General features: G+C 43.3%; 2 annotated features.

Annotated features, from left to right (window-relative positions):
* Positions 12817–12896: a silencer, noted in NCBI's record as "silent region_6373". NCBI's record gives its function as "represses an Ori minimal core promoter by ATAC-STARR-seq in GM12878 lymphoblastoid cells {active_cell/tissue: GM12878}" and the evidence as "EXISTENCE:reporter gene assay evidence [ECO:0000049][PMID:35858748]".
* Positions 23496–23996: an enhancer, noted in NCBI's record as "H3K4me1 hESC enhancer chr15:42388958-42389458 (GRCh37/hg19 assembly coordinates)". NCBI's record gives its function as "activates a minimal SCP1, AML or CMV promoter by ChIP-STARR-seq in naive H9 embryonic stem cells {active_cell/tissue: H9 hESC(naive)}" and the evidence as "EXISTENCE:reporter gene assay evidence [ECO:0000049][PMID:30033119]".

Genomic DNA, 26085 nt, shown 5'->3' with positions numbered 1-26085 from the left:
TCAGGAAGACACAGAGCTGCTGCTATACAGTGGGATGATGGGGGCAGGGAGGAATATGTTTGGCACTCAGGTGATCCTGGGTTTGCTTTTTTCTATGTGAAATTTTGCATGTAAAAATGGGTAAATATAGCAACCATGGTCTGAGTAAAGCATAACTTGAGCTTCAGACTCCTCTGAGATAAAGGTCTGGAACACCCCTCCTGAGAGCCACAGAGAGCAGCAGGAGTGCTCGCTGAGAGGCAAGAGAACCTAGAGTGGGTGGTGGAGGAGGAAGATGATGAGTATCAGTGACAGATTGAGACAAACTGTGGTGGTGTGGGCTGTAGTTCATTCCACTAACTCTTCTCCTGTAAATGTTCCCACAAATTGTGACCAGCCAGAATCCTGGAAAAGCTGTGCCTAGATTGAATGAAGTTAATATGGGAAGCAATTGGATCTCAGTGGTTTGGGAGGTGGACTGTAGTATATGCTGTTGGTGGCCTGCACAGCTTCCTTTGACCAGCCTGGCTGCTGAGAGGGTTGGTTGCTAATGGCCCTCAGCTAACCCCTTCTCCAAAGATCTGTGCTTGGCTGAATGAGAGTCCCACACCTGCTTTATCACTCAGGGTTCTTCAGAGAGACAATATCAATGAGAGAGGGAGAGAATTGGCTCATGCAACTGTGGGCTCTGACAAGTCTGCAATTTGTAGGGCAGGCTGGCAGGCTGGAAACCCAGGCAAGAGTTGCAGTCTTTAAGGCAGAATTCCTCCTTTTCTGAGAAACCTCAGTTTTTGCTCCTAATGCTTTTCAACTGATTAAACGAGGCCGACCCACATTACTGAGGGTAATGCCCTTTACTTAAAGTCAACTTATTGTAAATTAGTCACATCTACAAAATACCTTCATAGCAATATCTATGCTAGTGTTTGACTGAACTGCTGGGCATCATAGCCTAGCCAAGGAAGCACATGCAATGAACCATCGCACCTGAGAGGTTAAGTTCTCACTCATACCCGTAACCCTGAGGCCGTCAGCAGTCAATCCCCGACAGACAGAGGGGCTCAGAAGGCCAGGCCCCTTGCTCCAAAGTGGGACCACCTCTTGCAATTTGTGCTGCAGAGGTCCCCGTGGGACCAGACTGAAGCGAGGCTGCAGCTGAGACCACGTGTTTGTTTAGCTATTTTTCCTCCCTGCTTCCCTCTCTCCCTGTCTCCTGGGAGTATTCTCCCTGTACAACAAGTGTCCCCAGTCCCTGCCTCAGGCTCTGCTTCTAAGGAACCAGACCTAAGACACTGTAATGGGTAATGTTATGTGTCAATTTGGAGGGTGTTTTGGGATGAGATTAACATTTAAATTGGTGAACTCTGAGTAAAGCAGACTGCTCTGCCTAATGTAGGTGCGCCTCATCCAATCAGTTAAAGGCCTGAACTGAGCAAAAAGACTGACCTCCCCGAGCAAGAGCCCGTTCTGCAGCAGACTCTGCCTTTAGACCTCACCTGCACCATTAGCTCTCCTGCGTCTTCAGCCTGCTGGCCCACGCTGCAGATTCTGGATTTGCCAGCCTCCATAATTGTGAGCTGCTTCCTTATGATAAATCTCTTTCTCTCTATGTACACATCCTATTTGTTTCTGTGAAGAACCCTGCTACAGACACCAGCTATTTCAGAATAAGAGTCTCAGGGAGGGGCATAGGCTGCTTGTGCTGCGGCAGGAACTGTCCTTTCAGGGTGCATGAGTTCCTTTAGCTTTATCGTTGCTCAGCCGAATGAGATAGGCAGCTGTTGGAATACACAGCTTCTCCTTAAAGAGTCTTGCTTCTGGGATTTGTCAGTCAGCCCCGCCCCCAATATTTTCCATAACTAAATCCATTCCAGAGAAGTTCCTGCCACAAGTCCATGCACCCCATCCATTATTTTGGCTTTGCAGTTTAAGGTGTGTTCCTCCCCTTGGCATGGGCACCCTGTAGGTGTCTGTGAGCTCAGAAGTTGTAGGCATTCTTGATCCCTTTCCCTCCACACCCCTGTTTGATCTTCATTGCTTTTAGTAGTCCACATATATTTGTGGATTGGGATTCAAATGTTTTTTTAAATTTCATCAAACGTAGAGTTTGTGTTTCTGTTGTTATTTTCTCCTGTTGCCTTTGAATGACTTAAGAGAAGGGAAAATGCTGAGTTCAGGGAGCTTGTAAGGCTTTTGAGTTTTTGCAAATCTGATGTGTTCGAGATAGTATCCCACTGTGGATTTAATTTGCATTTCCTCATATATTAGTGAGGTGCAGCATATTTTTGGTGTGTTTTTGTCTGTGCTGGTTTGCTCATCTGTGATATGCTGGTTTGTATATTCTGCCCATTTTTCTATTCAGTTCTTTGTCTTTTTCTGATTTGTAAACATATAAATATGTTTTTTTATTCTAATACATTTTTGGTTAAATATATTGCAAATATCTTCCCTCAGTCTGTGAATTATTTTTTCCACACTGGAAGGTGTCTTTTATTTTAAAGTTTTATATTTTAATATAATTGAATAAACAATAGTTATCCTTTGTGATTTATGGGTTTTGTTTCTTTTTTAAAAAATCCTTCCTTATCTTGATGTTCTAAATATCATATATTTTATTCTAAGAGTTTTAATCTTTACTTTTTAAATATAGGGCCTGGCCGGGCACGGTGGCTCACGCCTGCAATCCCAGCACTTTGGGAGACTGAGGCGGGAGGATTGCTTGAGCTCAGGAGTTCAAGCCTAGCCTGGGAAATGTGGCAAAACTTCGTATCTACAAAACATATAAAAATTAGCCAGGTGTGGTGGCTTGCACCTGTAGTCCCAGCTACTCAGGAGGCTGAAGTGGAAGGATCACTTGAGCCTGGGAGGTGGAGGTTGCAGTGAGCTAAGATTGCACCACTGTACTCCAGCCTTATGACAGAGCCAGACCCAGTCTCAAAAAATAAAATATAGGGCCTGAATTGATTTTATGTTTTCCCTAGCACCATTCAATAGCTAGTATGTTTTCTGCCCTGATCGACACTGCCACTTTTATCATATAACAAGTTTCCAGCTGTGTGTAGGTATTGTTTCTGGGCTCTATATTCTGTTATATTTGTGTGTCTGTTCTTGCTCCAAGACTCAGCTGCTGTAATTAATTTACAGTAAGGCAAGCCTCCTTCCTGTTCTTTTAGTATTGTCTTGGCTATTACTATTTTTTTGATCTTCCATATAAATTTTTGATTCAGCTCATCAAGTTTCATGAAAAACCCTTTTGGGATTCTATTTAAAGTTGCATTAAATATAGAGATTGTTTTTGGAGAGAATTGATATCTTTAGATAAAGATTCTATCTAAGGAACATGGCATATTTTTTCCATTTGTTGAGGTCTTGATGTTTTTCAAATGCACATTTAAAATGGTGTCTAGTCTTTACCTGGTAACACTTGCCTATAAAGTAATCTGGGTCTTGAGTTTATTTTTTATTGTTGTTAGATTTTGAATTACTAATTCAGTTTTTCTTTTTTTCTTTTTCTTTTTTTTTTTTTTTGAGATGGAGTCTTGCTCTATCACCCAGGCTGGAGTGCAGTGGCACAATCTCAGCTCACTGCAACCTCCACCTCCTGGGTTCAAGCAATTCTCCTGTCTCAGCCTCCTATGTAGATGGGACTACAAGCGTGTGCCACCATGCGTGGCTGTTTTTTTTGTGTGTGTATTTTTAGTAGATACAGGGTTTCACGATGTTAGTCAGGCTGGTCTCGAACTCCTGACCTCAGGCAATCCACCCACCTCGGCCTCCCAAAGTGCTGGGATTACAGGCATGAGCCATCACACCCAGCCAGTAATTCAGTTTTTCAAAAGGCTTTTGGATTACTAGAATGAACAATGTGGTGCTAGATTAGAGTCAGAGATACCATGTTTAGTTTAGATATTGATGGATAGATATAAAAATAATTATATATATGTGTGTATACACAGATCAGTATATGTCATATACATACATATATATAAACATATATAATATATTAAATATGTGTTACACACACACACACACAATAGCCTAGCTCTGTTTGCTGAGAGAACCTAGAAGTAATGACACCCCAGTAGCAATGAGCACACACAGTGCCCAGATCTTGGCTTCTAATAGCATTCTTCAACAAGAAAGAACCAGGGTTTCTTGGAGAAATGGTTCATTCTAGAGTGGAAACAGTCAGTATACAAGATGATCCTAAAGCATCTTGTAGTGCCAGAAAGTAAGGAAGTGATCAAAAAGCAAGGAGGTGCTCAAAAAGCAAAACAATACATACGTGTCAAAAGAGACACAGGAGGCAACAACAAATTCTCCCCAATGGCCAATGGTGGAACAATTTGAGCAACAAAAGAAAACAAAGTTGACTGGGCACTATGGCTCATGCCTGTAATCCCAGCACTTTGGGAGGTCGAGGCGGGTGGATCACTTGAGGTCAGGAGTTCAAGACCAGCCTGGCCAACATGGTAAAACCCCATCTCTACTAAAAATACAAAAAAAAAATTAGCTGGGTGTGGTGGCACCCACCTGTAATCCCAGCTATTTGGGAGGCTGAGGCGGGAGAATCACTTGAACCTGGGAGGCGGAGGTTGCAGTGAGCCGAGATCATGCCACTGCACTCCAGCCTGGGTGACAGAGCAAGACCCCTGTCTCAAAAAAAAAATTAATAATAGTTTAAAATTTTTTTTAATTAAATAATTAAATAAAATAAAAAATTTTTAAAAATTAAAAGAAATAAAGTAGCATTGGATTACAACCTAAAGCATAAAATATCCATGAGTCCATACTAATATAAATAAACTAATATAAATAAATACTAATAAAATAAATCAATGGGAAAGAAGAGACAAATCTTTCATGCAGAATAATTCCAAATAATTTATGTAGATACTCCTCAATAAAGGAGGTAGAATATGACTCCCCACCCCTTAAGTATGAGCTCCACTTAGTGACTTGCTTCCAAAGAGTACAGAATGGAAAGGAGGAAGTAACTTTACAGTAGAGAAAATTGGCAAATATTACCTCATCCAGATGATCAGGTCAACAGCAACATTGATAAGGCACATTGATAGCATGTACCCTTGATGTGATGTGAGGAAAATGGCCCTTTACCTCTGTGGTCTTCCTCCCTCAAAACCATGATTCTAGTCTAATAATGAGGAAAACATCAGACACATCTCAATCAAAGGACATTTTACAAAATACCTGACCAGTACTTCTCAAGACTGTCAAAGTCATCAAAAACAAGGGAAGTCTGAGAAACCATCACAGCCAAGAGGAGCCTAAGACGTGACTACTAAATGTCATATCCTAGATGGAATCTTGGAAAAGAAAAGGACATTAGGTAAAAACTAAGGAAATCTGAATAAGGGATGGATTTAGTTAATAATAACATATCAATATTGGTTAATTGTAGCAAATATACTCATGTTTGATGTTAATAATAGGAAAACTGGCCACAGGGTCTGTGGGAACACTGTACTATCTTCACAGTTTTTCTGTTCTGAAAAAAAAGGCTAATTTTTTTAAAAAAGTAAGTTTATTCTGTTTCCATTTGGTAATGTGTATCATAATTCTCAAATCATGGATTTTGTAAGGCATATTTTTGTGATTGATTTCTACCTTATTTGCACCTTGGTAAAAGAAATGTTATCTGTATGGTACCTTTTTCAGATTTTTGAGACTTATCATAAAACCCTGTTCATGACCAATGTTTGTAAAAAATGTTCCATTGTGTTTGAGAAGAAGGTGTATTCCCTAAATGTTGTGGCTGTATATGTCCTGTATATGTATTTGTAGGGGTCTGTATATGTCCTGTAGATTAAGCTTGTTCGCTGTGTTGTTCAAATCTTCTATATTCTCAATAATATTTTATATGTTTTATTTATCCATTGATGAGAGAGGTAGAATTGTAGATTTGTCAAGTTTTGCTTAGGACATTTTAATTTTGTCAAGTTTTAATTAGAGCATAGCATTTTAAGGCTATGTTATTTAGATACATGCAAGTAGATAACTGTTATATCTTCCTGGCGAATTATTCCATTGATCTTTACACAGCAATCCTCCTTATTCCTAATGATGTTTACATTAGAGTCTCTTTTATCTATATGTACACCAATTTTCTCATGATCAGTGTTTCCCTGGTGTATCTTTATCAGGCTCTTATTTTCAACTTTTTTGTGTGTTCTTATGTTTTCAGTGTGCTCTTACAAACAGCCACAGGTGGAGTTTAAAAAAAACACTAGATTGACAATCTCTCTTTAAAATTTTTTTTATTAGGAGAAATTCAAGCATACAGAAAATTAAATTTATAGTTTTTAATGGATTAGTTTAGTCCATTAGCATTTATTACGATTATTGATATATTTGGATTTATTACTGTTATCTTTTTTTTTTTTTTTGGAGATGGAGTCTCACTCTGTCACCCAGGCTGGAGTGCAGTGGTGCGATCTCAGCTCACAGCAGCCTCTGCCTCCTGAGTTCAAGCAATTTGCCTGCCTCAGCCTCCTGAATAGCTGGGATTACAGGTGCCTGCCACGATGGCTGGCTAATTTTTGTAGTTTCAGTATAGATGGGGTTTTACCACGTTGGCCAGGCTGGTCTTGAACTACCGACCTCAGGTGATCCGCCTGCCTTGGGCTCCCAAAGTGCTGGGATTACAGGTGTGAGCCACTGCGCCTGGCCTGCTATCTTATTTTGTGCTTTCTATTCACTCTTTTTTTCTGAGGTTTTCTTTTTTTTCCCCCTGAAAACTTTTGGATTCCTTTTCTTTTCCCTCCTTCTTTATTACCTTGGAATTTACATACTCTAATTTTATTCTTTTTGTAAGTACCTCTACATTTTAACCTGTTTATTATCTTGGAATTTACATGTTCTAATTTTATTCTTTTTGTAAGTATCTCTAAATTTTAACCTGTTTACTTGAATTAGCAAAGTTTAAAGTTAACCCACTTCTTTACCCTATTCCAGAACAAGGCCAGGTGCTTTAAAATCTTCGCTCTATCATATCTTCCCATTTCATTTGTCACTGTTTGGTGTTCTACTTCCCTCCTTCATTTTTTATTCCCCATATTAGTCATCATTATGATTATTATCTGTATAGTCAATATTTTGGTTTACCATATGTTTAATAACCTATTCTATTTCCTTCTTCCTGGAGTAAATCTATAGAAGAGCTTGGTGAGGTTTCTTAGTGGTAAACCTTCCATTTTTGTTGATCCAATAAATTATTCATGTAATGCTCATTCTTAAATAATAGCTTGGCTGAGTATAAAATTCTCAGTTGGCAGGTTCTTTTCTCCCAGCATTTTGAAGATATTTTACTTTCTTCTGGCTTTAGTTACTGCTGTTGAGAAGCCTGCTCCAGCCTGTCTATCCTTCATAGGGCAACTTATGTCTTTTTTTCTGAGGACTTTTAGTATTTTTTCTTTATCTTTGGTATTCTGCAGTTACATTACAATGTGTCCAGGATGAACTTTTTAATTTATTCTCCAGATTTGCTGTGATTCCTGAATAGTAGCTTATAATAATAATGTTCTTTTTTTGTTTTGTTTTTTTTGAGATGGAGTCTCGCTCTGACGCCCAGGCTGGAGTGCAGTGACATGATCTCTGCTCACTGCAAGCTCTGCTTCCCGGGTTCATGTCATTCTCCTGCCTCAGCCTCCCAAGTAGCTGGGACCACAGGCGCCTGCCACCACGCCCAGCTGATTTTTTTTGTATTTTTAGTAGAGATGGGGTTTCACCGCGTTAGCCAGGATGGTCTTGATCTCCTGACCTCATGATCCGCCCGCTTCGGCCTCCCAAAGTGCTGGGACTACAGGCATGAGCCACCGCGCCCGGCAATAATAATGTTATAATATGTGTTAAGTGTTAGCTCTGTGATATGGTCTAGATTTGTGTCCTCACTCAAACCTCATGTCCAGTTATAATCCCAGTGTTGGAAGAGGGGCCTTGTGAAAGTTGATTGGATCATGGGGGCAGATTTCCTCCTTGTTGTTCTCATGATAATAAGTGAGTTCTCAGGAGATCTGGCTATTTAAAAATGTGTAGCACGTCTCCCTTCTCTCTCTTCCTCCTGGTCTGGCCATGTGAAGGTGTGCCTGTTTCCTCTTTGCCTTCTGCCATTATTGTAAGTTTCCTGATGCCTTCCCAGCCATGCTTCTTGTACAGTCTGTGGAATCTTGAGCCAATTAAATTTCTTTTCTTTATAAATTACCCAGGCTCGGGTATTTCCTTATAGCAGTGGGAGAACTAATACACTATGCACCAGGCACTAAGTAAATGTTAACTCATTTCATATCCACAATGATACTATTATCGTATTCATTTTATAGGCAATTAAGTCACACAGTGGTAAATACTGAAGGTAGGATTTGAAGGTAGGATTTGAACCTAGGTTTTTCCCAGGGCTTCCCATGGGCTTTATGGGACTCTATGAATTGCTTTTCTGCTTAAGCCATTTCGAATTTGGTTTCTGGTACTTGCAACTGAAAAAATCCTGACTAGTCCATTGGCTAACTGGGTGGATATAGCTGGGAGGGAAAAGTTCTTCTTTTGAAAAAAGTAGATACAGCATGATCTTGTCTCATCTAGAAACCTGATGAATGTCAGGAAGTTTCACAAGCATCTCTTGAACTTGCCGTTGCTGTACTCCACGTGTTTCCTGCCCATATGGCTTCTCCTAGAATTGAGCATCTAAAGGGAATGAACTGCCTCTGAGCTGTGGTTTGCAGGCCCCAAACACTGGGGAGTGGCAACTAGTTGTGATACGTGTTGTAAGTCAGTTTATTATTAATGACAAAACATCCACATTTTCAAATAATTTTCATTTAATTTGAAATGTATATTTTGATCAAGTAATTTTTTTTTTTTAGGCGAAGTTTCATTCTTGTTGCCCAGGCTGGAGTGCAATGGCATGATCTCAGCTCACTGCAACCTCCGCCTCCTGGGTTCAAGTGATTCTCCTGCCTCAACCTCCCAAGTAGCTGGGGTTACAGGCATGTGCCACCACACCTGGCTAATTTTTGTGTTTTTAGTAGAGACGAGGTTTCTCCATGTTGATCAGGCTGGTCTCGAATTCCTGACCTCAGGTGATCCACTCACCTTGGCCTCCCAAAGTGCTGGGATTACAGGCATGAGCCACCATGCCCGGCCCAAGTAATTATTTTTTAGAAAGTCAAACAGCTTTGCAAATCTTATAATGAAGAAACATTAGCTTCCTCCCCCGCTCCTATTCACCCAGCAGCAACTGCTAAGGACTCTTTTAGTTGTGTCTTTCGGTATTTATCTCCAGATTTCTTTTTTTTTTTTTTCTCGCTCTGTCTCCCAGGCTGGAGTGCAGTGACGCAATCTTGGCTCACTGCAAGCTCCGCTTCCTGGGTTCAAGTGATTCTCCTGTCTCAGCCTCCCAAGTAGCTGGAATTACAGGCGTGCACCTCCACGCCCAGCTAATTTTTGTATTTTTAGTAGAGATGGGGTTTTACCTTGTTGGCTAGGCTGGTCTTGAGCTCCTGATCTCAAGATCCACACACCTTAGCCTCCCAAAGTGCTGGGATTACAGTTGTGAGCCACGGTGCCCAGCCCTATCTCCAGATTTCTAAATAACATGCTTATACTATTATTTCTTGATTTTTATTGACTTCCTATTATGGAGGATGAGGGCTCAATTTTTGTTTTTTTTTTTTTTTTTTTTTTTGCTCTATCCTCTCTCAGTGCCTCAATATTGTTATGTTATAATTTTTTGGTCAATATTCATTTTTTACATTGTGATTATGTAGTATGATATGGTTACTGTCATTCTAGTTTTCCTTGGAGTTAATAATTGCCTTACTTCCTGATTAGCTTAGTTTTCTATGTTACTATCAGTAATTTGTCTTTAAACTCTCCACCAGAAGTATAAATCTCCTCTTGATATATCAGGTAATCATCAGTTTCATTATTTTCTCCTCTTCAACTTCCTCCTCCTTTTAATATCTCCTTATATGTCCCAATTTGGACTGCTTTCCCTTTAGGTAATGCCCTGGGAGCTCCCTTCAGCATCATTTTGGATATTAACTTGCTTTTATGTTGGATCCTCAATTTCCTGGTTCCAACTTCTTCCTTTTTGTTGGTTTATTCTTTCATTCTGGTGAGACGTATCCTCTAGTACCTCACTCTCACCGTGTGGTCTACAGATCAGCAGCACTGATGTCACTTGAGAGCTTGTCAGAGTGCTCAGGCCTCACTCTAGACCTGCTGAACCAGAATTTGCATTGTAACAGGTTCCCAGGTGATCCATGGCACTTTAATATCTAGAAAGCACTGTTCTGGTAGCTCATGAGAAAGGCTAAAAAAAATTTGAGTCCTTGCATTTCTGTATATGCCTATACACTACTCTCACTTTTGACTAGCGGATTGATTGGGAAAAAAACTTCTAAGTTGTAAATAATTTTCTGTAAGAAATTTCAAGACATTTTTCCATTGTCTCCTAACTTCCAATGTTGCTGTTAATAAGTTCAATCCCATTATGATTTTTAGTCCTTGGTGTGTGACCTTTTTATTTCCAGATTTCTAAAATTTAATGATAAATATCCTTTGATGAGGGTTTTTTGTTTGTTTGTTTGTTTTACTTGTTTGCTGGGTGTTCTGTGTACTCAGCAACCCCTTTTATCTAGAGAGTCTTCTGGTTCTGCAATCTTTTCTTGCATTATTTCTTTGATAATTTTAATGATTTCTTTGATCCATTCCTGGAACTCCCAAGAAGAAGATATTACTGCACTCCAGCTGAGCAACAAAGTGATACCACATCGCTAAAGAGAAGAAGAAGAAAAAAGGAGGAGGAGGAGGGGGAGGAAGAGAAGAAGGGGGAGGACGAGGAGAAGAGTGGGGAAGAAAGGGGGAGAAGGGAGAGGAGCAGGGAAGAAAGAATAATTTAGGCTTCCTGGCATGCTCTTTTAAATACATAGTCTTATCTCCTATTTTCATTTCTTTTTTTCTTTTTTTTCTTTTTCTTTTTTTTTTTTCTGAGGCAAGGTCTCACTCTGTCACCCAGGCTGAAGTGCAGTGGCACCATCATGGCTCACAGCAACCTCTGCTTCCAGGGCTCAAGCAGTCCACCCACCTCAGCCTTCCAAGTACCTGGGACTACAGGCACATGCCTCCGTGCCCAGCCAATTTTTGTATTTTTTTTGTAGAGATGGGGTTTCACCATGTTGTTCGGGCTGGTCTAGAACTCCTGGGCTCAAGCAATCTGCCTGCCTCAGCCTCCCAAAGAGCTGGGATTATGGATATGAGCCACTGCGCCTGACCCATTTCTTTGAATTTTTGATTTGCTTTTCTAGGGAGATTTTCTCAACTCTATTATCTAATTTTTCCATTAATTTTACTTATTTCTGCCATCATATTTTTAGTGTACGAGGGTTCTTTATACTCTGAACATTCCATTTCATGGCATCCCCACCCTTTTTGTTGCAAAGATCCATCATCTTTTATCTTCATTGTCTTTTTTATGTCTTTTCATGTAAAGACATTGTTGAAGCGAACTAAATATGGCTTGAGAAGGATTCTGTACTTCTATATTTGAGTCCTTGTGGGAGAACTGCAACCTAACTAATAGGTAGACAAGACTGAGAACCTACCTTGGGAGTGTGTGCCTTAACAGTGGCTGGGTCTTGGCCAATCCCAGCAGCCATACCTCAACCACTCACATACTGTCAGGCGTTTAAACTGTGTTCAAATATGGCAAATGCTGAGCTGTAACCAATTCAGCTATTTCTGTACCTCACTTCTGATTTCTGCACATCACTTCCCATTTTTGTCTATAAATCTTCTTCTACCACGTGGTTGCGTTGGACTCTCTCTGAATCTGCTGTGATTCTGAGGGCTGCCCAATTTGCAAATTGTTCATTGCTCAATTAAACTCCTTTACATTTAATTTGGCTGAAGTTTTTATTTTAACAACATTAATTACAGCTTTGTAAAAAGTTTTCTCATACTTCCAGCACTGTCTCTGTTTCTGTGTCTCTTTATTTGGTTTGTAGTTTTAATCATTAATCATGTTAGAGGATTTCTTCAAATGTTTGGTGATCCCAGGTTGTCTGGTCACATTTAAGAGTGAGGCACTAAAGTGATCACTGGAAGCTCTGTGCACATGGTCTGACCTGGCTGAATAGAAACTTCATTGTAGGTTGATTAGGCAGGGATCTGGAACTCTGGAATACAGCAATCACCTATTAGTATTGGTAGTTTTTTGTTTGTTTTTGTTTTTCCTTTTATGTTGGTGTGTTTCCCTGGAAGGGAATCCTCTGTTCTCTTGCCTGATGATACTGGTGGTGGTGGCAGCAGGGGAGGTGTAAGACTGGCTGCCAGCATTCTCAGGGCTGAGTGGGGAAAGAGGTCTGAAGGTGATGACTCCCATTTCAGTATGTGGACTCCCATGTCTTCTGCTTGCTCCTCCCCAGAGAGTAAACCTTTAACCTTCTGCTGAGACTGGACAGGTGATTTGTGGGACTATTACACTTCTGCCAACTTCCAACTAATCCTATTTTCAGGTTAATCTGCACCTTTACCTTTCATGGTAACTGAGCTCTCCTAGAAGTTGAACCATCAATCAGTTTGCTTATAGCTCTTTGCTCCCACCCCCAACAGCAGACTCTTAATGGTTGTTTTTTTTTTTTAAATGTTATTGAGTATAACATAGACAGAAAAGCACAAGACCGTAGGTGTGCAGCTGGATGGATGCTTGCATGTCTCTACCCCTGTAACCACCACCTTGATCAAGATACAGAACATTTTCATCATGTATGAAGATTCCCTTGTGATTCTTACCAGAAAATACCCCTCAACCAAAGGTAACCACAATTTTAAGTTCTGTCACCACTGATTAACTGTGTTCGTTCTAGAGCTTGGCATCCACGGAATCACACAATCACACTCCTCTATGCCTGGCTTCTTTCAGGGTACATTATGTCTGTACAGGCATTTTGTTTTGAGTTGCTAGTCTTGCTTTCTGATTCACCATCCTTTCTTCTCCACCCCTTGACTCTGTGGCCTCCCCTGTCCCTCTTCACAACTCAGCGTCTCCTCTGATCAGCTTCCTGATGGCTGTGAAGGGACGGACCCATCCCGGCATGGCGCCAGCTGGTGGGTGTGCACAGTTTCCGTGATAATTATCCACAGTCAGCTCTTTGAACTTGGGCCAGGTACACAGCTGCCACCCCATGCAAATACATTAAATACGTTCATTGTTCCTGGTAGCTAAACAGTGTCTGTGAGAAAGTGTGTGTGGCGGGGTATGTAAATCTGATCTGAATTCTTGGCTCTTTCACGATGCATCTTTTGATCTGAGCAGGTCTGTTTCTCTGTCCCTCTGATTCTCATTCCTTCAAGCCCCTTGGATCCACCAAATATTGTGAGTTTCTTTAGGGTCAGTAGATTTTAGGCTGTGAAGAGGAGACTCATTCTGACCCAGTGGTCTCCTCCCGACACCCCCCCCCCGCCCACCCGTCGCCTTTAAAAATTTTATTTATTTATTTATTTTTGAGACAGAGTTTCACTCTTATTGCGCAGACTGGAGTGCAATGGCACAATCCTGGCTCACTGCAACCTCCGCCTCCCAGGTTCAAGCAATTCTCGTGCCTCAGTCTCCCAAGTAACTGGATTATAGGTGCCCACCACCACATCCGGTTAATTTTTTGTATTTTTAGTAGAGACAGGGTTTCACCATATTGGCCAGGCTGGTCTCAAACTCCTGACCTCACGTGATCTGCCTGCCTCAGCCTCCCAAAGTGCTGGGATTACAGGCGTGAGCCACCGTGCCCGGACCCAACATCCCTTTTTAAAGACCAGTGGGAACAGCAGCACAAGCCACACAGCAGCCTTACTGCGGGCAGCTCAGCGTGGTCAGGGTGGCAGGCATGACACCGCTGGGTCAGAATGACAGTAATATGTGATATTTTTGAAAAGTATGCTGTTGAAGAAACTGAGTGTGTCAAAGCTGTTATCTTGGAGTTGAGAGCCAATAATTCTACCTGCTAGAAAAGCTCTTCTGAATCCATATGAGCTGTGGGAATGGTAAAGAGCTAACTTGAAACTAACTTCAAACTTTCAAACTTCTAACTTTTCTCTCAGTTCTTCATTTTCAAATAAGGCCACCCCTTATTTGAAAACTGATGGCATCTTCTTAATAAAATTTACTTAATATCTTTTTGTAGAAGTTGTGATTTTTTTTTTTTTCTCACTCTGTCACTCAGGCTAGAGTGCAGTGGTGCAATCACGGCTCACTGTAGACTTGACCTTCTGGGCTCGAGTGATCCTGCCACTTCAGCTTCCTGAGTAGCTGTGACCACAGGCGAGCACTCCCATGCCTGGCTAATTTTTAAAAAATTTTTTGTGGAGACTAGGTCTCCTATGTTGCTCAGGCTGGTCTCAAACTCCTGGGCTCAAGCAATCCTCCCGCCTCAGCCCCCCAAAGTGCTGGGATTACAGTCATGAGCCACCGCATCCAGCCTGCAATCTTTTAAGATCAAAGAAAGCATTGTCTTGGTCTTTGATTTCATTGTATACAGATGGCATGTTCTGTTCAGAATGATCTTTGCTAATTTCAATACTGCCACATTTATGGTCCAGATACTCGCTTTTTTGAGACGGAGTTTCACTCTTGTTGCCCAGGCTGGAGTGCAGTGGGGTGATCTCGGCTCTCTGCAATCTCCGCCTCTTGGGCTCAAGCAATTCTCCTGCCTCAGCCTCCCAAGTATCTGGGATTATAGGCACACACCACCAGGCCAAGGTAATTTTTGTATTTTTAGTAGAGATGGGGTTTAACCATGTTGGCCAGGCTTGTCACCAACTCCTGACCTCAGGTGATCCACCTGCCTTGGCCTCCCAAAGTGCTGGGATTACAGGCGTGAGCCTCTGCGCCCCGCCCAGAAATTCTTTAAAGTATGCATTATTTTTGCAGTAGGAGCTTTGCCTTGTTGATTATAATTTTCTTTCTTTTCTTAAAGCTTAAAGAAGTATAAAGATGAAGGAAAACTTTGAGAGGTTTTAAAAACAAAATGTGCCTTAGTTTGGTTTAACATTTTATTGCAGGCCCTGCTTGCCTGTCTACACAGGGGAGAGTTGTATTCAGTAAGAATTTTCAGCTTACATAGAATTATAGAGTCACTGATACTGGCTTCAAGATGATTCTGATTCCATATTTTAAATGCCAAAAGAAAGGATTCTAGGGCCTTGTCCCTCTGTCCTCCTGGCTCTGACACCTCTGATCTTGGTGCCATCCTCCCTGGGTGTCCTCAGAGGGGCAGCCCTTGATGAAAGGGGCTGATTTCCTTCCTGCTCTTTGAGGCTTCTAGGAATGGAACTCCCAGGACTTCTGCCTCTGGGCTGCTGCTCTGCCCTGGTGAAGGGGCTGTGGTTGGTGCCTAATCCCTCCCATGCCTGGTGGAACATCTGCTTTGGAGACCTCCTCTACTCAGGCTTTTGATTTTGTTTTCGTTTTTGAGACAGAGTCTTGCTCTGTCACCCAGGCTGGAGTGCAGTGGCATGATCTCGGCTCACTGCAAACTCCACCTCCCGGGTTCAAGTGATTCTCCTGCCTCAGCCTCCCAAGCAGCTGGGATTACAGGTGTGCACTACCACGCCCGGCTAATTTTTGTATTTTTAGTAGAGACAGGGTTTCACCATGTTGGCCAAGCTGATCTCGAACTCCTGACCTCAGGTGATCTGCCTGCCTCAGTCTCCCAAAATGCTGGGATTACAGGCGTGAGCCACCGCACCTGACCCAACTCAGGCTTTTTTGAGAAGGGCTGGCAATATGATATGGAGGAGATGGGGGTTTGCAGTAGCTGAGTGAGGAAGAGGGCTTAGGATGGAGTGTGGTGAGAGGCTCTGAGAAGAGGGTAGGCGGGAATATGGGGGGAGGGGGTTTACAGATAGCCAAAAAGGTTGAATGCCGCTGCTGTATGACCTCTGAAGTAACAGCTTATACCTAATAGTGGTACTCCACTTTTAAATAGCACAGAATACTGTAAATTGGTGTTGCAATAATCTGTAAGCACCAACCCATTTTCTAAAGGCTCATCTTAAGAAATGCCTCCTCTGTGAATCTCTTTCCAGATATCCCATTTAGATTCCTTTTCTGCTTCATAACTTGCGACATCTTATTTCCTAGTCCCCAGACCTCTGGACAGTTGTGTAAGGAGGAGGTTACAAATAGGCTGGGAGGAATTACAATTTCCCACTTAACATAAAAAAATTCAGGTTCACTTTTGGATTAAACTCAGCTTCTCTTAGGAAATGCTCATTTTGGAGCTCTCTCTACCCCACCCTTGGAGCCGAGATGGCAGCTAAGCATGCGGGACCCTCAGTGGTCTTGGGAGGGTTGTAGTCCAGGATCTATGTGGGGTGTTCTGACCAGGCCTTTGGACTCCTGCTTGTATGCACAGCCAAAGCCACAGCTGACGGGACCGCTGTTGCGTTCCACGCTGGCCAGGTCGGGGCAGGCCCTGGCTCAAGCTGACCATCCCCAGCTTCTGCCTCACCTCACGCCACCCATGGCAGCTTCAGGCAGGCCTCTTGCTGTCAGCTGAGCTACCTCCACACCCCCAGTGGGAGCTTGGGAACACTTCTGGATCCTTCTGTCACACAAGGGGGCCTAGGAAGATGAGAGGGCACCACCACAGGCCCCCATCCTACCTAGGCCCTTCCCCAATCACTTCCCACACCCACGATGGGCAGGCATTACTATGCGGGACACAGTGCTCCTGTCCAGGGATGTGACTTTTCCCAGGATGTGCCTGTGGAGACAGGGCTAAGCCCACACCTAAGGGATTTCACCCACCTGATTTGTTCGTGCAGAATACCCCCAAGGGCTTGGGCTGGGCTGGGAAGACATGTGAGTCCTTCTCCCTGCTTCCCTCCTGGAAGTACAGGGGCTTTCTCCTTTCATCCTATGCTGGGTGGGCACTTTCTCTAAGACTCTCTCTTCACAGGACCCACATTTCAAAGCTCTGCTTATGGTCTGTGAAAGGAAACTCTGGGAATTTAGAAAAGTCTTCATTTTCCTCACAGTGGTCAGCCTTTAAGCCTTGTTTCTGGAACGTTGGCTCTGAGATTTGAGGCAGAAGGAGGCCCCCTGCTCCCCTTTTTTTTTTTTTTTTTTTTTTTTTGAGACAGAGTCTCACTCGGTTGCCCAGGTTGGAGTGCAATGGCACAATCTTGGCTCACGGCAACCTCCACCTCTATGGCTCAAGCGATTCTCCTGCCTCAGCCTCCCGAGTAGCTGGGATTACAGGTGTGCGCCACCACACCTGGCTAATTTTTTTTGTATTTTTAGTAGAGACGGGGTTTTGCCATGTTGGCCAGGTTGGTCTCAAACTCCTGACCTCAGTTGATCCGCCAGCCTCAGCCTCCCAAAGTGCTGGGATTACAGGTGAGAGCCACTGCACCCGGCCAGGAGGGCCCCTTTCTTTCTCTCATCTCCAGCTTTAACAGTTGGTGCCATTGGCTGAAGACGAGAGAAATGAATAGGAGGAAGGGGCAAAACATTAAAAGCACATTCACATATGCATTTCAAATCCTGTCATGTGAGGGAAGTCATCAACTATAGCTGGTGCTGAGGGAGTGTGATGGGGAGGGCTGGGCTTGGCCCTCAGCTCTGGACTTCACCTCAAATCCCTCTGGGCCACCCCGGGTGGCACACAGAAGGGAAGTCTCCTCCGCACTGGCGGGGCACTCAGGTGCTGCCTCCTCAGGGGCAGGAAGGAGCAGGCTGGCTGGGGCCCTGGGCCTTGCAGGTGGCATAGGTGTACCCCACACCCTCCTGAACCCAGGGCAGGCAGATCATTACCTCACAGTCGCCCCCCTTGGCAGCTGTTGGTGAGTTGGGTGTTTACAGGAAACCTATTGCCTTTCAGATGAGTCAGTGCCATGTGGGAAGAGGAGGGCAAAATTTCATAGAACTCCTGGCAATTGAGCATTAGGATGAAACTCTGAACATACGTCTGGACTGAGGATTCTCTTGCCAAATCTGTGGTCAGCAGGTCACTACTGGAGTTTAGAGAAAGATGTGTCTTCTATTCAGATCAACCAGCCTACAGAAATAATCTTTTAGAGGGCCCTATTCACGCTTAACCCAGTTTTGTTTTGGTTTATGTTTTGAAAATGTATGAAAGTCTCAATTTATTTTTTAAAAAATATTATGAACTAGAATATAAAAGTGACAAATACAGTACATTTAAAACGCACATACTCATTTCCATTGCTTGGAAGCTTTATGAAAACAGAAATCAGAGGATAAGGCCAACAGGGCGGAGTGGGGAGCGGGGAGATCCCCTCAAGACGGAGAAGGCCTGGTGAGGAGAGGCAGAGGGGTTCTGGGAGAGGTCGGAGCAGGTACCTCAGGGGGTCTTAAAACATGGTTCTCCGATAAAACGATAACCTCTTATAGTGTTTATAGAACTCAGAAATGATATTTATTTAACTTTATTATGAGGCAATACATATTTTCCTGTATTTCTAGATATAGTTTGGAAAACTCTCCTTAATAGTCTGTTTTGTATGCCTTGTATTTAAAAGTTTTAGTCATTTTTGAAAGACTATTGCTGCTGCAAATAGTTGTGTGCTTTACATTCTCAGCTTCAGTCAATTTTTTAATGTAAGAGCATCATAATCTAACCCGAGCATCCACTTGGAGAATGTTTTTTTGTGTGTGGTCTAGGGTGACAAAAGACCACAAAAATGTGTGGCCTAGATTTTTCCAACTATGTCATTAACTTCATGATCCAAGACCAGTTATAGGATGAGTCTATATGTGAAAATAAAGTCTGATTTATGGAAGGAATTATTCTAAGGGAAAAACCCAGGGTCAAGCTGTATCTTTTCTGTCCTCTATATTGCATGTCTATTTCTGTTACACAATTTGTAATTTCTTCAAATTTCCTATGGTAGCATGATAAATCATCAAAGAACCTGTTTGGGATATAAAACTTTCATAGAAAATATTTGATGAGTATCTTGATTATAACCTAGAATATGTATACATTAGTAAAATAACCAGATATACTACAGAACTCTCTGGTGGCTCAAACAGGGTGACCTCAATCCAAGTTTACTCTTGATATCACTTTATGGGCTGAAGGAGGAAACTCAAACCTCAGGGTTTGTTTTTCCCCGGACAGACAGTAGTGATAGTGCATTATATTTTAATAAGAAAAACAAACCAGTAAACCTCGAGAAATTTTAAAAAGCATAGTTGAGGCATATTTTTTCATAATATACTTTTCTACTTATTGCCCATGGAAAATATATGTGTGGAAGTAACTCTTCTGTTATTTGCTAATACCTTTTTAATTTGTTCCAAAGATAATACTGCCATACTGCATTCCCTCTGGAAGGAAAGCAAACCAAACCAAACCAAACTCACTCAAAACCACAGTGCTGTTATCGGATAAGTAGATGTCAATGTATACTTACAAGGAAAAACTAAAAAAGGTAATGTGTTAATTCAGCCTTTTTCTATGTAATATTTCCAAGTCAGATTTTCTTACATTCCTGGAATTTAGTTTGATATACCAAGAATAATATGACAAAAATAATGATAAAATGTTTGCTTTGATTACTGTTGGGGGGGAATGAGATGTTCAATTGTATTAAAACAAACAAAAATTTCAGAGAAAAAACAAAACAAAACATGTTTCTATTTCTTATCCCAAAGCTCATGGACCTGCAACGACTGCCTCCAAACTAAGTTAATTAGCTGACTAATATTTGTTTACAGCTCTTCCATGGCTCTTTACCTTGAAATTCCAGAGACTCTGTTCTGCATTGTATATCTGCCCCAGCACTCCAGGGCCTGAAGTGTCATGTCCCAGGTTCTGGAACACTGACTTACCCCGTTGGCTGAGAGACATGGAGTGGAAGGTGGGTTGTACACTGGAGGTGGGGACCAGGCCTGTTTTTACCCTCACAGCTCTCTGTCTGGGACACGGTAGACACTCAATAACAATTTGTGGGATGAATGAATGGCTTGGCTGGGTGGTGCCCTGTCCCTTGCTTACAGCAAGGCTTGTCCTTTCCAGTAGCCCTAGAATGAATGAGGGCAGGGGTGAGGTGTCCCTTTCCTGCTTGGTCCTGAGCACTCCTGGACAGGAAATGGTCCTTTCCCTCATGTCAACAGGGTAAATAACCACTTCCTCATGAGGCAAGAGTACAGGCCCGCTTGTGCCTTCCCATGGTACTCAGCGCGGAACACCGAAGCATGTGTCATGCCTGCCTCATGCTACATATCTTGCTATCTGACCCACAACCTGCTCCAGGGCTTTTGCCTGGAATGGAAACTCAGCAGGTCATCAGCCCTGATACTTCCTACACCCCTGTCAGTCAGCTGCCTCCTCTTCTCTGTGACATTGTCATCGATTGGTGTTCTAAGCAAGGATAAAGGGAAGGGAGTGACCAAACCCTTCTTTCCTGGGGTTAAAGTAGGTGGGGAGGGGCTGAGACCCAAGTGAAAAGCCCAGGACTGGATCTACTCCTTCAGGCAAAGCTCGATCCAAGGGCTCTCTCTGCTCCCTTTTGCCTGCACTTCCTCTGGAAGGAGACTGTACTGTGGCCTCTGGGCTCCACTCCCAGGGTGACCTGGGGGCAGTTCATCAACCAACTCCTGCCTCCGTGTTCTCATTTGTAGAATGAGGATAATAAAAGTTCCTCACCTGACAGGGCTTGGGGGATCTCCTTAGCCAGATCCTAAAAACAGCCATAGCCACACCAATGTCGGCAGACAGGCAGAAACAGGAAGACAGGCAGCTTTGCCAATTGTAGATAAAACAACGGTGTTCTCTATATAAAGTGCTTTGAATAGTGTGACACAAGGGCGTGTATTATGGAGCCTGAAGGTTATACAAGTTGACACAAAGTTAGGTACAAAAGTTAATATTCTTTGTAAATGATAAAAAGAAATCAGGCAAAAATTAAAATTTTAAAAGGTTGATAAATTCCAAAATATTACAAAATTTAAAAAAATACATTGATATGGGCTCAGCACAGTGGCTCACAAATGTAATCCCAACAATTTGGGAGGCTGAGGCGGGTGGATCACTTGAGACCAGGAGTTCTTGACCAGCCTTGCCAACATGGTGAAACACCATCTCTACTAAAAATACAAAAATTAGTCAGGCATGGTGGTGCGCACCTGTAATACTAGCTACTGGGGAGGCTGAGACATGAGAATTGCTCGAACCGAGGAGGTGGAAGTTGCAGTGAGCTGAGACCATGCCATTGCACTCCAGCCTGGACCACAGAGCAAGACTCCATATCAAAAACAAAAAACAAACAAAAAAAACACACCATGATATTTGTGTGAATCAACTGCCAGACACACCTCCATGCTTTTCCCTCCACTGCTTGCCTGAATACACCTTGATTGCCTTTTTGTTCAACACCCATTTTGTGAGTTGTTGTTTTTTTTCATTTCTTCTTTGCTGTATAACAATACCAGTTTTGTAATATCACTTTCTTTGGTGCAAATAGGTAGCAATCTTTCCTCCAGTCTGGTTGATTGGAATTTTTAGAAAATTATTGATAGTTAATAGTAGTTCATTATTGATTGTTTCTTTCAGCTTCATAATTCTTTACTGGTAATGTTACATAAAACTTCAGGATCATTACAAATTTAGGAAAACCTCTGCTTTACTTACTATGGCTATGTAACAAATCACCCAAAATGTAATGGCATAACACAGCAACCACTCTATTAGGCTCACAGATATTTTGTGTGTCAGAAATTCAGAAAGGGCCCTGGCTAGGGATGACCCAACCACTGGGGCTAAAATTATTGGAAGGCTCATTCGTCCGTGGGTCTGGAGCCTGGGCTGGGCCAGTTGGAGATTAGGACTGCTGACTCCAGCACCCACTGGTGGCCTGTCCTTATGGCTGGGCTTCCCCACAGTATGGCCGCCTCAGGGGAGTTGGGTGTTTCGCCTGGCGGCTCAGGGCTCTAAGGGGGAGTGTTCTAGCCATTAAAAAAGAGAGCTGCATCACCTTATGATCTAACCTTGGGAGTCAAGCAGTCATTTTTCTCACATCCTGTAAGTTACCAATCACAAGCCCATCAGATTTAAGAGAAGGGGAGTTGGCCTCTATTTTTTGATGGGGAGTGGCAAGGTGCTGGAAGAGCATGGACAGGAGATATCGGTGCAACCATTATTGGAAAACAGAATCTGCCGCAGCCTCCATCAAGCTTCTTTGGTGTATAAGCTGTTGTAGGTGTTGTGCTAGCTGCTGTAGCACAGGAATCACGATACATATTCTATTAATATTTCTTAAAATTACCCTCAAATAAAGGAAAACATGCAATCAAGACATGATGGGAAACACCCTTTTCAGGAGAGAACTTCTGTTTTGATCAGGTGTCAAGGAAAACCAAGTCTTCCACTTACAATGTTGTGTGTTGGATTAGAGGAATTTTTCAGATTGGTTTCTGGCTCTGGATATTTCAGATCTCATTTCTCTTCCTCTATCCAATTCTTCTGGCACCAAAGGACACACCCACATCACAGTGAACTTCACTATATGTGAAGCTGACTGTACATGAAGCTGACTTCACTATATGTGAAGCTGACTGCAAACCCCATAAATACATCTCACTAAACTGAAATAAAATATATCTCTAACTCAACCTCTCCTTAACCAGATCCTAAAAATATCTATAGCCACACCAATGCTAACAGAGGGGTAGGAATGGGAAGACAGCAGTCTTTACCAATTGTGGATAAAATCGTTTACTACTGTGAATTTTACTAAAATATATGATCACACGAACCTACTGCTAGGGCTCCCCTGGAGCCTTGGAAGGATGTGTGTGTGCAAGGAGAAGACTCAGCTTAAGTATCATTAGCTGCACAATAAACCCGCCTCTGCCTGGCACATAGGAAGTATTAGTTATATAGGTGTTTATTATTACTGGCTCCATTTTCCTGACAAATTTTCCTCTCATGGTGGCAAGATGGATACATTTAGCAGCCCCAGCTTCATATGCTCCCAAGTTCTGCCCAGCAGGAAAGACAAAGTGTCTTTCTTAGAACTTCATGCACCAGCATTTATTGTGATTGCACCAGCCAGAGTCCTGAGTCCAATGAACCAAATGCCTTGGTTAGAAAGCTTCCAGGAACTGACTGGCCAGCTTTGGACCACATGCTGTGTTCTTGCAGCTGGAGGTGGAGTCAACAGCACCCAAACCAAGGGGGAAGAGAGTCGGGGAGGGCTGGTTTCCAGAGAAAATCTGGGGAAATTAAAGGAGCCTTGAGTGCCAAATGAAAAAATAGATGTTCATTTTCTGTGAGTATAGAGTAAACGTTGAGAAGAGACAGTGGTGGCAAGGATGCCCAGCAAGGGAGAGGGATGAGAGAGTGGAAAACATGGCGCCCAAGACTTCCTCCAGCATGGCTGCTTAGGTCAGGTCTGCTCTGATGGGCTCTCTAGGCATGGCCCTCCTTTAAGGACCCTCCACCCGTGGCCTGGGTGAGCAGCATGTGGCCTCAGCCCAGCCCCGCTGTGCCTGCCAGCCCTGTTCCAGGCTGACTGCCTCCAGGTCACCTCTACCTGTCTTCTGTCTTCTTGTCCTGACCTTTGTCTTGGTCTGATCCCTATTCCCAGCTGCCTATTCATAGCCCTTGGAGGGTTGGAGTGGGGAGATCTTTAGGACCTCAGTCCGAGGCCAGCCACTGTGCTTCCCTGCTCCGTGTCCTTCCCCCTTCCCACCTTGGGTCTCCACCATGTGTCAAAACCCTAGGTCTTGGCACATAATTCATGGAAACTGTGATGGGAGCATCCTAAATATTTCCTCTCGTCCATGCAGAACCCTGCGGCTCTCTTCAAGTGGGGGGTATCCACGTGTGACCCATCGAGCAATGGTTTTCCATCTTTTTCAAACTCTTTTTGAGAATCTGATTAAAGCTATAGACCTGAGCTCTCTGGTAAGGTAGGCTCTAGCCACATGCAACTGCTGGACTCTGGAAATGCGGCTGGGCTGAACTAAGATGTGCTGCAAGCATAAAACACACAGTGGATTTTGAAGTCTTAGTATGAAAAAAAGTAAAATATCTCCTTAATAATTTTATATGTTGATTACATGTTGAATTGACAATACCTTAGATTATTGGGCTAAATATATATTAATTTCACCTGTATCATTTTACCTCTTTTTTTGTGGCCACTAGAAAGTTTAATACAACATCTGCAGAGCTCCCAGAACATTCCTACTGGACAGTGCTGTTCTAGACCCCTTCTCTAGAAACATTCACACATGCATACATAGTCACATACTGGACTGTGCTGTTCTAGACCCCTTCTCTGGAAACATTCACACATGCATACATAGTCACCTACTGGACTGTGCTGTTCTAGACCCCTTCTCTGGAAACATTCACACATGCATACATAGTCACATAATTTTGTATACAATTTCAGGGACGGTTAAAAGTATCCTAATTCCCATCCATGGACCCTAGACCCAAATTAAGAATCTCTGAATTAGGAATTTCGTAGTTTTCACCAGGCCCAGCATCTACCACACCATCATTGCACAGGTGGGGAAACTGAGCACCACGTCCTCCTCCAGGCACAGCCAGCTGTCTTCTGGGGGTGAGGGGGTGTCTGGCCCTCCCGTACTGGAGTGGGGCGCTGGGGCTGGGGTCACCTCAAGGAACGTGTTGCTGCGGCTCTGCCTCCCTAGGTTCCCCCAGCGGATCCCGGCGGGCGTATGGGGATGACAGGGGCAGGGAGGTTAATCAGGACTCCTAAGGTCCCAGGATTCCTCTGGAACGGGCCTAAACAATGGAGGCCACCAAGGACCAGGGAAGTTCTGGTGGGTGGGCTTCAGGACAGACAGTACAATCCCAGCCTTTCCAGTCACCAGCTGGGTGATTCTGTATTGCTTTGTCTGTGACCCACTTGAAATGACTTGTTCTTTGTAGTTTTCTACATATTACATTTACTTCTTTCCCCCCCACCCCTTTTTTTAAAGAGACAGTGTATCACTCTGTCACCCAGGCTGAAGTGCAAAGGTGCAATTATAGCTCACTGCAGCCTTGAACTCCTGGGCTCAAACAATTCTCCCACCTCAGCCTCCTGAGTAGCTGGGACCATAGACACGTGCCACCATGCCCCATTAATTTAGAAAATTTTTTTGGTAGAGATGGGGTCTCAACATGTTGCCCAGGCTGGTCTCCATTTCCTGGCCTCAAGCAACTCTCCCTCCTTGACCTCCCAAAGTGCCAGGATTACAGGCGTTAGCTGCCATGCTCAACCACTACATTCATTTTTTTATTAAATTTTATATCATGCAAATGACAGATATTTCCACCCAAATAATGTTTACTTGTTCATAGACCATTAGATTCCTGTTTTGGCCAACTCTGAAATAATACATTTTAGATCCACTTGTAGTATTTTAAGATTAACTCAGTTTCATTTGCTTTGAAAAACAACATCATCGCTGTTCAACTGTTTACAGAATTGATGGTAAAATGACTGAATTCATGTCATTTTAGGAGAGCGTTCAGTGCTAATGTGTACACTGAATGCTTTAAGCGGTGAGGTGGCTTCACAAAGTTTACTTCTACAATTTTCATAACCTAAGAATCTCCTGATTGGTCTCTTTTACTTTTATTACAAAGTCTAATTGAAATCCCCTAAATTCTTAGGGCCCGCCGCATGGAGGTGAGGGGCTTGTGGTGGGGAATGTCCAGACCCCTGTGCTGCTCCCTGGAGCTTGCTCAGGTCAGGTGAGGAGGATACACTAGCCCGGGCCTGTCACCACGACTGCTCTTGTTTTCATCCCCTGAACTCCCTGCTGCACAGAGCTGCCCAGGAGGGCTGGCTCCTTGCCTAGTCTCAGGTGCTCAGCCCTCCTCCTCTAGAGGCTGGCCCTGGCTCCAGTGGAGCTGGGGGTTTCCTCAGCTCTACCCCCACCCCATCCTCTGCCCTCAGCCTCAGGGGAACCAGCTTCCTGCCACCACTCCTGGGACTCGTCTGCCTCCCCCTGGCTGCATCTTCTGTCCTGAAACTCCAGGTCTGGAAGAGGTGCTCCGCCTGCAGGTCCTGGAGCCCTGCCAGAGGTTTCTGGAGATG

Source organism: Homo sapiens, chromosome 15 (genome assembly GCF_000001405.40).
Source record: "Homo sapiens chromosome 15, GRCh38.p14 Primary Assembly".
In the NCBI taxonomy this organism is placed as follows: domain Eukaryota; kingdom Metazoa; phylum Chordata; class Mammalia; order Primates; family Hominidae; genus Homo; species Homo sapiens.
Note: the sequence above shows the minus strand (reverse complement) of the source record. Positions and strands in the feature narration are given on the sequence as shown.